Source organism: Homo sapiens, chromosome 5 (genome assembly GCF_000001405.40).
Source record: "Homo sapiens chromosome 5, GRCh38.p14 Primary Assembly".
Lineage (NCBI taxonomy): Eukaryota > Metazoa > Chordata > Mammalia > Primates > Hominidae > Homo > Homo sapiens.
The window spans coordinates 113,303,435-113,316,951 of record NC_000005.10 but is presented as its reverse complement, the minus strand read 5'-3'; the positions used below and the strand labels follow the sequence as shown (position 1 = coordinate 113,316,951).

Sequence of the window (13,517 nt, the reverse complement as noted above, 5' to 3'; positions counted from 1 at the left end):
CATTTTTCACCATACTTTTGCATCTGTTTCAGTGTCATTTCCATTTTGCTTTGCTTAAATTAAAAAGGAATGCTATTAAAATTAAAACTTGGTTTTAAAAATACATACACACACACAAACATATATGAGCAAATCAGTGGGTTGGGCTGAATGCTATGTTATTTGACAGATTTGCATGTCTCCTGGTGGTGGGGGAGCAGTTTGGTTTACCCTCTTTGATACAAAGCTAGCATATGTTCAGAGCTGGGCATCAGGTGTAATAGAATTACGCATTGTGTTTATGAGACCCTGACTTTTATATCCCTGTAGATGTTCATTCATTCATTTTTCAGATATAAATTAAAGGTAGAGATTGCAGATTAGATGTGCCAGGGCTCATGTGGGCTATGTGAAATGTAGTTTCTCTCACTCTTGGAACTTATTGGATCATGACAGAAATATAAATGAGCTCTAGGAGAATATTCAATCCTTATGAGAATTCATTTCTGTCAAGACATGGGTAGTGGCTGTGCTAGCAGATGAGGCCTGCAAACTTCGTTCTCTTTTTCTTGGTATTTGTTATTGGTATTTTAATTCAGTTAGCAGTACAAAGGGTCTTAAGCAATATTATCAAGTTATAGCCTTTCAGTTGTGAATATGACTTATGATAAGTAGACTACTTAATATAACATATCTCTTTCTTTTTTTTTTTTTTTTGAGACAGAGTCTCTCTCTGTCGCCCAGGCTGGAGTGCAGTGGCATGATCTCAGCTCACTGCAACCTCTGCCTCCTGGGTTCAAGCGATTCTCCTGCCTCAGCCTCCTGAGTAGCTGGGATTACAGGCGTGTGCCAATACGCCCAGCTAAGTTTTGTATTTTTAGTAGACACCGGGTTTCACCTTGTTGGTCAGGCTGGTCTCAAACTCCTGACCTCATGATCTGCCCACCTCAGCCTCCCAAAGTGCTGGATTACAGGTGTGAGCCACCATGCCCGGCCAACGTGTATCTCTTGAAGGTCTACTTTGTACCTAGTTGTTTTGGGCACTTCGAAAGAAGAAATGGCCTAATCATCCCAATCTTCTGCTGTCTTTTTTTTGAGACAGGGTCTCACTCTGTCACCCGGGCTGGAGCGCAGTGGTGTGATCATGGCTCACTGCAGCCTCGACCTCCTGAGGCTCAGGTGATCCTCCCACCTCAGCCTCTTCAGTAGCTGGGACTACAGATGCACACCACAATGCCTTGCTATTTTTTTTTTTTTTTTTTTTTTTTGTAGAGATGGGGTTTTGCCATCTTGCCCAGGCTGATATTGAACTCCTGGGCTCAAGCAATCCTCCTCCTTCAGCTTCCTGAAGTGCTAGGATTACAGATGTGAGCCACTGCGTCTGGCCTGCTGTCATTTTTTTTAAAAAGGAGCACATGAAGGGCATTTGACCTTTTTGGATGCTGCTGAAATTACTTAACATAATTCAAACGACTTTCTATGTTGGCTGTATGCAGCAGAACTTAGTATTAAGTTGAACTATTTAAAATTGTCAACGTCTTCTCTTTTTGTTCTATTAAAAGCAATTTCATATGATTTAATCTAATACCTATAACTTATTGAGCACCCACTAGATACATAACTATATTTAGTACGTAAAGAATATTCAATTTCTAATAATAAAACAGGCAGTACCTTTGGGAACTGCTGTTGAAGAAGAGCTATGGATACTGTTAGGAATTTGGGGGTTCCCTAGCAGGCATGAAGGGATGAAAAGAATTGAGGACCAGAGATAAATTTGGGATTTATATTTAACATCTTCTCATCTTTACCTTAAAAGCACCTCAGCCAATAGTAAGGATCACAAACTTTATTTGCCAAGAACGTGAATACTGAATAGAGTTTATAATGTATTTCATCATAAAACAGTTTCTTATTTACTGATGGAGAGCAAAGCTCTTGGCAGATTAACTCTACAAATCAAGAGAATATGAGAATCAAAGGCCAGAATCCAGGATAATGAGCAAAACTCTTGGAAGAGCACTAAGACCAGTCCTGCTGGACTTTTGAACTGACTTCCCAAAGTGAAGGTTATGACCCAATGGAGGCTGGGTGTGGTGGCTCACACCAGTAATCCCAGCACTTTGGGAGGTCGAGGCAGGTGGGTCAACTGAGGTCAGGAGTTCGAGACCAGCCTGGCCAACATGGTGAAACCCTGTCTCTACTAAAAATACAAAAATTAGCTGGGCATGGTGGTGCATGCCTGTAGTCCCAGCTACTCGGGAAGCTGAGGCAGGAGAATCGCTTGAACCCAGGAGGCAGAGGTTGCAGTAGGCCGAGATCACGCCATTGCACTCCAGCCTGGGTGACAGAACAAGACTCCATCTCAGAAAAATAAAAATAAAAATGACCAAGTGGGGTCAAAGGTGGAGAGTTCAGGGTTCCCCTGAAACTCCTTCTTGGACCATGTCACCATGAGCACTCAGCAATACTCAGAATATCCGGCTCTATACTGTGTGGAGTTGAGCAAAAACAGTTCTTTCAGGTGAAGCTGCTGACACTAACAGCATTTACATGCCCTTTTCTAATTTTGAACAACTCAGGACCTGCAGGGAAATGGAATTCCCATAAAAATCTTTAAAACTGAAGGACACAGTCATCCAGCCTTCACTCCCAAGTCCATCCAAATTGTAATTAGAAAAATGAGCTCTTATTTGTCTATTCTATCATTTTAAAACTCCAATTAAAGGCAAAATGAAGCCCCATGATTTTTAAATTATACTCTATCATTTTGCCTAGAAAATGACAGATTTTATACAGGCCTCCCTGGGAGGTTTGAGAGAATCTGGAATATCTGTTTAGAATTATAGATATCTGCCAAGTGCAGTGGCTCACACCTGTAATCCCAGCACTTTGGGAGGCTGAGGCAGGAGGATTGCTTAAGCCTAGGAGTTTAAGACCAACCTGGGCAACATAGTGAGATCATGTCTCTGCAAAAAATAACAATTAGCCAGGCATGGTGGCCTGCACCTGTGGTCCCAGCTACTTGGGAGGCCGAAGCGGGAGGATCACTTGAGCCCAGGAGGCCAAGGCTGCAGTGAGCTGTGATCACACCACTGCACTCCAGCGTGGGCAACAGAGCAAGACTCTGTCTGAAACAAACAAACAAACAAACAAAACAAAACAAAAAACAGACAGAGAGAGAGAGAAAGAAAATGGCAGATTATTATACAGGTCTCCCTGGGAGCTTTGAGAGAATATGGAATATCTATTTAGAAATATAAGAATCTTTCCAGACTCTCTGGAGTCTTCCACCAGATGATGCATAAAGAACATCCCTAGTAAATAGGAACCCAAGAAAATAGCTGAAGGCCAATACTGATCTGTGACTCCTGCATTAGGAGATGGACTTCCAGAGTAGAAAGTGCTCCAGATCTCTTTTCCTTAGTAGCTCGCCATTGCCATCATATCTCCAACCCTCCTTCCTCCCCAACCACCGCTATCAGATATGACAGGAACTCTCGGGCCAGAATAGGAGCCATAATTTCCTCAAGCTCACTTTGCTTTCAGTGAGTGCAATTTGGCCTTCACAGAACTAGATGTTCCTTCTCTACACGTTTTTGTTGTTTGTTTGTTTGTTTTTTGTTTTTGAGACGGAGTTTTGCTGTCACCACGCTGGAGTGCAGTGGTGCCATCTTGGCTCACTGCAACCTCCGCCTCCTGGGTTCAAGCGATTCTCCTGCCTCAGCCTCCCGAGTAGCTAGGATTATAGGTGCGCACCACCACACCCAGCTAATTTTTTGGTATTTTTAGTAGAGACGGGGTTTCACCATGTTGGCCAGGCTGGTCATGAACTCCTGACCTCATGATTCACCTGCCTCGGCCTCCCAAAGTGCTGGGATTACAGGCATGAGTCACCATGCCAGGCCCCTTCTCTACACTTTTAAAGCACATTGCTCATATTTCTCTGGGTTAACAAGGAAGTCTGTTTTTTGTGTGTCTCTCTTCCCCACTAGACTGTGAGCTTATCAAGAGGAGGAATCTTGTGTTTGTGTCTCTCCAGTGCCAATCAGATTGCTTGACACAGGCTCATTCATTCATTTAATCTCTCAATCATTTATTTATTCCCAACTGAAACCTCTCAATAAATGTTCATTGACTAAATAGATGGATAAATAAATATTTTTTTCAGGACTAGATTATGAATTTTATGGGCAAATTTCAAGGTATATATATGAGAAACTCCCTACCCATTTCATAGCAAAGTAAGCATGTGAGAAGAATAACTTGTATCCATCTTAAAACCATTCAGTAGTTCTCATAGTTCTTTGGATCAAGTCTTAAACCCTTCACATCATCTACAAAGCCTTTCATTTGTTCTAGTCACTGCCTATCATCCCAGCCTCATTTCTTTGCATTCTCTTCTTTATCTCCATTCTCCAGCTGCATTGACCTTCTAAGTAACTCAGCATCTGTACTCCTTCCCTACAGGGCCTTTGTATTTGAAGTTTCTGTGACTTGAACACCTCTTTCCCCTACCCTTCACCTGGTTAACTTCTGCATGTCTTCCAGATCTTAGGTCAGACATCTCTTCCTTAAAGAAATGTTCCTTAACCTCACTCCCCACCAGTCTATGTGAACTCTGTTATATGTATTCATATTTCTGTATTCCCTGTCCTTCAGAGAAGACATTGCAGTTTTATAGGTTTTTTTTTTTCAGACAGAGTTCTGCTTTGTTGCCCAGACTAGAGTGCAGTGGTGTGATCTCAGCTCACTGCAACCTCTGCCTCCCAGGTTCAAGTGATTCTCCTGCCTCAGCCTCCCCAGTAGCTGGGACCACAGGTGTATGCTACCACACCCAGCTAATTTTTTGTTTGTTTGTTTTTTTGAGATGGAGTCTCGCTCTGTCAGCCAGGCTGGAGTGCAGTGGCGCGACCTCGGCTCACTGCAAACTCTGCCGCCCGGTTTCAAGCGATTCTCCTGCCTCAGCCTCCTGAGTAGCTGGGATTACAGGTGCCCACCATCACACCCAGCTAATTTTTGTATTTTTAGTAGAGACAACGTTTCACCATATTGGCCAGGCTGTTCTCTAACTCCTGACCTTGTGATCTGCCCGCCTCAGCCTCCCAAAGTGCTGGGATTATAGGCATCAGCCACCGCGCCCAGCCTAATTTTTGTATTTTTAGTAGAGACGGGGTTTTACCATGTTGCCCAAGCTGGTCTTGAACTCCTGACTTCAGTGATCCACCCGCCTCAGCCTCCCAAAATGCTGGGATTACAGGCGTGAGCCACCATGCCCGGCCAGCTATTATTTTTTTTTAATGATTAAGCAATGTGTCAGTTATCTGTTGCCACAACAATGTTGTGTAATTTTAAAAGACTATATCAGTGACATTCACCAATAAGTGTTTATTGCTCATGTATTTGGGGTCAGTTGCAGGTCGGCAGGGCAGCTGCTGTTCTTGACTGTAAAGCCTGGACTCACTCATATATCTGAGGATAAGCTGGCTTGATGGCTGATCTGGCCAGACCTTGGTTTGGGTGACTAGAGCAACTGCTGAACCTGTCTCTTATCCTCCAGAAGGCTGGCCTAGACATGCACTCACGTTAGCGGCAGATATGTAAGAGGAAACATGACAGACTCCTAAGGAGGAGACACGGGCATACCATTAATTCCATCTTATTCTGTTGGCCAAAGTTAGTCACATGGACAAGTCCAGAGTCAGAGTGGGAGGGTACTACAAAGTTATAGGCAAAGGACATGTTTACAGGCATGGGTAAAGTATGGGGCCATCTTTGCATTCTACCACAAACTGACTCTAAGTTTAACTGAAGGCAATGATGGTGTACCTCTTTAATTTTTAAGAGACAGGTCTTGCTCTGTCACCCAGACTGAAGTGCAGTGGCTTGATCACAGCTCACTGTAACCATGAACTCCTGCATCCAAGTGATCCTCACTTCTCTGTCTCTCAAAGTACTGAGATTTACAGGCATGAGCCACTGTGCCCAGCTGGTGGACTTCTTTTTAATTGCTATTATATCTCTAGTACCCAACAAGATACTTGGCACATAGTGGGTGATAAATATTTTTTTAATGAAGGAAGGATGGAATATGAAAAAGCATTAATTTAATGCAGTTGTCTCAAGAATCCAGAGAAATGTCCACTTTTGAAGGAGGTTCCCACCTTAAGAAAGATAAAATAAATTAGTCCAATATTGTTATCCATTTTGTGTTTTTTCAAATTCCCAAATTCTCCCAAATAGTAGCTGTTTGCATTTCAGGGTTAGCTTTTATTTCCCATGTGACACATTTCCCTCTCTATCACTAGTGACAGTAGTGGAAGGTGTTTGAAAAATAATTTCAAATGAAAAAGGTGAGATATGAACTATGTGAAGAAACAGAACAAAAACTTAATAATTTAGATATGAAAAAAATAAGTAGTTTTCATTAGTTTGGACAAAGGTTTGGGCTAGCTTTCTCATATGTCATAGGCTTTATCTTCATTCATTTGTGCTGCTGTAACAGGATACCACAGACTAGGTGATTTTTAAAGAACAGAACTTTATTTCTTAGCGTTCTGGAGGCTGGGAAGTTCAAAAGCAAGGCGCTAGAAGGATTGGTAGCTGGTAAGGGCTGCTCTCTGCTTCCAAGTTGGCACCCCTGTTGCTATCTCCTCTGGAGGGGAGGAACACTGTATCCTCATATGGTGAAAAAAGCAGAAGAGCAAAAGAGCACTCCATTCAACCTCAAGCCCTTTTGTAAGGGTATTAATCTCATTTATGAGAGTGGAGCCTTCCCAAAGGCCACACCTCTTAACGCTGTTCCATTGGGGATTAAGTTTCAATATGAATTGTGAAGGGGACACCCTCATTCAAACCATAGCAGGCTTCCACATAACAGGCTCTGAAGGGCCAAGAGTAGGCTGCTGGTGCCTTCAAATCGTGTATTCCTTATAACTGGGAAAATAAGCCAAGTATTTCAGAGCCTGGTTAGTTCTAGAATATGAAATTCTAAAATATTGATAATGGTATGAAACACAGAAGAAAGAGAGGAAGAGAGGGAGGGAGGGAGGGAAGAAGGAAGGAAGGAAGGAAAGAAGGAAGGAAGAAAGGAAGGGGGGAAGGGCGAGAGGGAGGGAGGAAGAAGGAATGAAAGAAAGAAGGTGAAAGGAAAGAAAGAAAGGAAAGAAATGAAATGTATTGTTAAGAATGTGTAACAGACCATTTGATACAGCAATACCCAGATACTGGATATCTACTCAAAGAAAAAGAAGTCATTATATAAATAAGACACCTGCATTCATATGTTTGTCACAGCACAATTCACAATCATGAAGATATGGAATAAACCTAAGTGCGCATCAACAGATGAGTGGGTAAAGAAAACATGGTGTGTGTGTATATATGTGTAGATATAATGGAATACTACTGAGCCATTGGAAAAAAACAATGAAATACTGTCTTTGCAGCAACTTGGATGGAACTGGAGTCTATTATCCTAAGGGAAGTAACCTGGGAATAGAAAGCCAAATACCACATATTCTCACTTATAAATGGGAGATAAGCTGTGGGGATGCCAGCAAAGTGCTGCATGCATGGGTATGCAGAGGCATGCAGAGTGGACATGGGAGACTCAGTGGGGGAGGGTGGGAGAAGAACACGGGGTAAAAAATTACCTATTGGCTACAGTGTACACTATTTGAGTGATGGCTACACTAAAAAGTCCAGACTCCACATTATACAGTTTATCGATGTAACCAAAAATCACTTGTACCTCTAAAGCTACTGAAATTTAAAAAAGAATGTATAACAGTAAATGGGTTTCATATTCAGAGAGTGGTAAAGGAGTTGGGGGATGTTGATTCAAATTCTGTTAGGAAATTCTGTAAGAGCATGATGATAGTTTAATTGGACAATGTAATTGAGTATCTTTGATAAAGAGATTTATTATTTGACTCTGGCTTCATTTTAAAAATATGGCCTCTTTTCTCCAGGAATAATATTCAAAATACTTGTCAATGGGGACTAGCCATAGCAATGGAGGAAGATTTTAGAAACCTTGGTTGTGCAAAATCAAAATGTTAGTCCCTCTCTTTCTTTTCCTTCCTTCCTTCCTTCCTTTCCTTCTTTTCCTTTATCTTTCTCTCTTTTTTTCTGTCTCTCTCTTTCTTTCTTTCTTTTTTTTTGCAGGGTCTTAGGGTCTTGCTCTGTCTCCCAGGCTGGAGTACCATGGCAAAATCATGGCTCAAGGTGGCCTTGGACTCAAGCAATCCTCCCACTTCAGCGTCCTGAGTAGCTGGGACCAGGCCTGGATAATTTTTGTTAGATTTTCTGTAGAGACAAAGGTCTCCCTATGTTGCCCAGACTGGTCTGGAACTCCTGGGCTCAAGCAATCCTCCTGCCTTAGCCTCCCAAAGTGGTGGGATTATTGGCATGAGCCACCATGCCTAGCCCAAAGTGTTAGTCTTATGGCTGCTAAACTGTGGAAAGGTCTGGAGGTTTTTAGAGATGGGGATGGGGCAACCTGAGGAGGGAGTGGGCACTCTCTGGTTTGGGGCAGTAGTCATGTACCAACTCAGTAAGAATTGTTTCCTAATATTTTCTAATACTGATACAGTCATACCAGCCCTGTTTTTCTCTTTAATTAATTGAACTGAGCATCATACAGCTCACCTTTTAATGGAGCTATCAAGGTGAGAGTGCTGAAGGACTTCAGAGAACAGAAAGGTTAATGTCAGGACAAGAGTTAAAAAGTTGTTAAGATTTAGACAGGCACCAAAGAATTGTTAAGATTTAGACAGGCACCACCCTGGGCAACATTGCAAGACCTTGTCTCTACAATATATATAAAAAATTAGCTAGGCATGGTGGTGCACGTCTGTAGTCTCAGCTATTGGGGAGGCTCAGGTGGGAGGATTGCTTGAGCCTGAAAAGTTGAGGCTGCAGTGGGCCATGATCGTGCCACTGCACTCCAGCCTAGGTGACAGAGCAACACTCTGTCTTTAGAAAAAAAAAAAAAGGATTTAGACAGGCAAATGGAGCTGACACTCCACGCAGGAGAAAGAGCAACAGGAAGATACATTAATGTGGGAATGAGCTTGGGAAAGATAGTAAGAAGACACCTTGACTTGCATTTAAATGGAAGAAGTGTTTTCCATTCAAGTGGTCAGGGATAAAAATTTATTGAAGAAAAAGGGGAATCTACAAAAAACCTACAGCTAACATCATTTTTAATGGTAAAAGACTGAATGCCTCCCCTCCACCCTGCCAAGAGCAGCACAAGACAAAGTTGTCTGCTCTTTCCATTTCTATTCAGCATTATACTAGAGATGCTAGCTAGGACAGCTAAATAAGAAAAAGAAATAAAAACATCCAGATTGTAAAAGAAGAAGTAAAAAAATCTCTATTTGCAGATGACATTATCTTGTATATAGAAAATTCCAAGAAATACACCAAAAGGTTAGAACTAATAAATGAGTTCAGCAAGCTTGCAAGATACAAGATCAATGTGCAAAAATCAATTGCAATTCTGTACATTCATAAACAATCTAAAAATGTAATTAAGAAAAACATTTCATTTACAATAGATTAAAAAAGAATAAAATACTTAGGAATAAATTTAACAAGAGAAGTACAAGATTTATACATGGAAAACTACAAAATGCCATTGAAAAGAATCAAAGCAAACTTAAGTAAACGAAAAGACACCTATGTTCATGGATTGGAAGACCTAATATTATTAAAATGTCGATATTCCCAAACTGATCTACAGACTCCGTGCACGCCTATCAAAATTTCATCTGTCTACTTGGCACAATAACAAGCTGATCCTAAAATTCTTTGAAATGCAAGGGACTCAGAAGAGCCCAAGCAACCCTGAAGAAGAACAAAGTTGGAGGACTCAACACACGTTCTGATTTTAAATCTTTGTATGAAACTCCAATAACCAAGATGTGTAGTATTAGCATAAGGATGGACATACAAATAAGTGGAATAGAATTGAGAGTCCAGAAATAAATCTTTATATTTATGGCTAATTGGTTTTTGACAAGGGTACAAAAATTATTCAGTGGGAGGAAAGAATACTTTTTTTTTCAATAATAAGTTAACAAAAAATGGATCATTGACCTCAACATAAGGGCTAAAACTAAAAAAATTATTAGAGGAAAACAATAGGAGTAAATCTTTGTGACCTTGCATTAGGCAATCATTTATTAAATATGGCACCAAAAGCATAAGCAATAAAAGAAAAAATAGATAAATTGGACTTCATTAAATTAAAATTTTGATGTTTCAAAGGGCTCTACCAAGAAAGGGAAAAGACAGCTCACAAAATGGGAGAGAATATTTGCAAATTTATATCTGCTAAAGGTCTAATCTCCAGAGTATATAAAGAAATCTTAAAATTAAACAATAAAAAGACAACCCAATTTAAAAATGGGCAAAGGATTTGAATAAACATTTCTCCAGAGAAGATATACAAATGGCCTACAAACACATGAAAAGATGTTCAACATTATCAATCTTTAGGGTAATGCAAATCAAAGCCACATAGCAAGAATAAAGACAGTAAGTGTTGGCAAAGATGTAGAGAAATTGAAACCCTCATACATGGCTAGTGGGAATGTGAAATGGTGCAGCCATCTTGGAAATTATAGTAATTTGGTAGTTCCTTAAAATCTTAAAGATAAAATTGCCCTATTACCAAGCAATTCCATTCTTAGGTATATACCCGAGAGAATTGAAAACATATGTCCATATTAAAAACTTGCTCACAAATGTTCATAGCAACATTATTCATAATAGTTGAAAAATGGAAACAACAAAAATATTCATCAATTGATGAACGGATAAACAAAATATGGTAAACCCATATAATGGAATATTATTTGGCAATAAAAAGGAATGAACCATTAATACATATACAACATGGATAAAACTTGAAAACAGGCTAAGTGAAAGAAGCCGTATACAAAGAGCCACATATTGTCTTACTCTGTTTATATGGTGTGTCCAGAATAGGTAAATCCAGAGACACAACGTAGACTTGTGTTTGCCAGGGCTGGAGGAGGGATACATACAGAGTGACTGCTAATGAGTATGAATTTCGTTTGGGGGTGATGAAAATGTTCTAAATAAGATAGTGGTGATGGCTGCACAACTCTGTGAATATACTAAAAACCACTAAATTATGTTAAAAGGTAAATTTTATGATATGTGAATTATCCATTAATAAAACATAAAATATAACTTGTAGAATGACATTACGGAAAACTGTACTTTGGAGAAAAATCGCTGGGCTAGAGTATATGGAATGCTTTGGAGTCATATCATTGAGCTATAGTAACCAAAATGTAAGGTGACAAGGCCTGGGAAAGGTGCTGCTAAGCGGTAAAAGTGGAGAGCAAGTGGGGACGAAAGGACTACATGACTGGAAGAGAAGATGAAGGAAGGGGAACTGAAAATGACTCCAAACTTATTAGACTGGAAACTATGATTCCATTTACACAAATTTGTAAGCTGCAATTAAAGTTGGTTTTTGGTGGAAGGTGACAAATTCTGCTTTAAACATGGTTTTATAGTGATGACAGAACTTAGCAAGAGTGTCTGGTTGTCACATAAAGAATATTAACTGGAGCACAGGTAAGAGTAGCTGGAGATGCCAATTTGAAAGGATTTGCTTAGAAGGGGAAGTTTGAGCTCATGTGATAATCATGCAAAACAACTGAGGATGGCTGGGAGAGGGAAGCTGTCTTATCAAAGTAGGCAGGAGCCCATTCTTCATGCCTCAGCCTGTCCCTGTAGGAAATCCCTACCATAGCAGTCCATCCATGGGCACTTCATGAACTCAAAGGCTAGGAAGGTGGCTTTCCCAGCCTGTGCCTCAGACCTTCCTTCACCCCTCAGCTTGATACAATACCAGGTTAACTGACTCCTTTATTATTAAGTATATGAGGCATCATATCATACTCATTTTTTTTTTTGCCCCTTTTGGGTAGCTGCCGTAACATTCTAGCTAAGAGACAGTAATGGAATGATGCTGTTTTAGCCCAAACAGCTCCAGAAATAACAGTGGCAGGCATTTGGAATTCATTTAATTTAAGCATGTTCTCCAAATTTTACTAGATCTATTTTTATGCATCTATTTAAAATACTTTTTTTGTTTTCCTCTCCAGGAAATTGACCATATGCAGGTACTCCTGGGAGGACTCAAAACTTTTTTTTTTAACTTCCTTGGATTTCCAAATCTCTAATCTCCACTGATTAATTTTCCTTTCCATAGAAAATGTGATATAGTTTAAAGAAATTTGGAGAACAAATGAGCAAAAATTTTTGAAAGATACTCTGAATATTGACAATGACACAGATACTAAGTTTTAGGCTCGAAAATATCTAATCAGACAGTGAAGGGGTATTTGATGCATCACATGATGCTTGCATAAAGTAGTGAATCTCAAATCATTATCAAATCCCCACTGATAATGTCGGAGATGTTGATGCCAAATGACTGTGGGTTATTAGGATGCCTAGGCTGGGTGTGAAGCAGTCTGTAAATGTAACTAATGAGACAGACAAACACCACGGGGGTGCTTTCTTTGCTTGAGTTATATTTGCAGTTGGAGAAGGTTGGGTTTTTGTTTGTTTTTTCTGTATGTGAGATGTAATCTGGAAATAGTCTTCAAGTAGTTCTTTTCTTAGCCAGTTTTAAACATAGACTAACCAAATTACCTACTGCATCCCAACTATTTTTTAGTGGTAAGTCACTGGGTCTAAAGCAGTGTAGCTGACTTCATGAACAATAAGGTGAAGACCTGGCCATGATGGGACAGACTTCAGTGAGCAGTTTTAGGAGGGGTCAACCATGCTAACAGCCCAGATTCTCTAATCCTTGCCGAGGTGCTTCTACTAGCTTGACTGAAGGGACATAGTAAAGGAAGAAAAGCTCAGAAGTACAAGTAGAGACTTTGGTTCAAGATCTCATTCTCATAGTTTACTAGTAGTAAGGCTTTGGGCAACATACTTCCCAAAAGTTACCTCCAGGCTAGCGTGGTGGCTCAAGCCTGAAAACCTAGCACTTTGGGAGGCCGAGGCGGGTGGATCACCTGAAGTCAGGAGTTCGAGACCAGCCTGGCCAACATGGTGAAACCCCGTCTCTACTAAAAATACAAACAAATTAGCTGGGCATAGTGGCTGGCGACTGTAATCCCAGCTACTTGGGAGGCTGAGGCAGGGGAATCACTTGAACCTGGGAGGTGGAGGTTGCAGTGAGCTGAGATTGCGCCATTGCCTGGGCGACAGAGTGAGACTCTGTCTCAAAAAAAAGAAGTTATCTCCATATGCTCTCTCAGTGTTTTCACTTCCTACACACCATTCAATCCACACTCGTCTAATTTCTATCACCACCACTTAATGACATTGATTCTCTCAAGGTCCCTAGTAATCTCCAAAGCCAGATGACACTTCTTCATTGTCAGCTTTCTTAAACTCTCAGCAGCATCCCACACAGGTTACCACTGTCCTTCTTAAAACATGATACAGTTTTCAGTTTTTCTGTTCTT

At 40.5% G+C, this 13,517-nt stretch overlaps 1 protein-coding gene and 1 long non-coding RNA gene across 2 annotated transcripts in view, besides 1 other annotated feature; one reads left to right on the top strand and one right to left on the bottom strand.

Annotated features, from left to right (window-relative positions):
- MCC (MCC regulator of Wnt signaling pathway) overlaps positions 1–13,517 on the top strand; it is a 466,348-nt gene that overhangs the window by 171,502 nt on the left and 281,329 nt on the right. The gene's annotated exons all lie outside the window — the stretch shown is intronic.
- LOC124901045 (uncharacterized) overlaps positions 1–13,517 on the bottom strand; it is a 44,906-nt gene that overhangs the window by 22,814 nt on the left and 8,575 nt on the right. The gene's annotated exons all lie outside the window — the stretch shown is intronic.
- Positions 3,874–4,074: a silencer, noted in NCBI's record as "peak5422 fragment used in MPRA reporter construct". NCBI's record gives its function as "represses an SCP1 promoter by STARR-seq MPRAs in K562 erythroleukemia cells {active_cell/tissue: K562}" and the evidence as "EXISTENCE:reporter gene assay evidence [ECO:0000049][PMID:32103011]".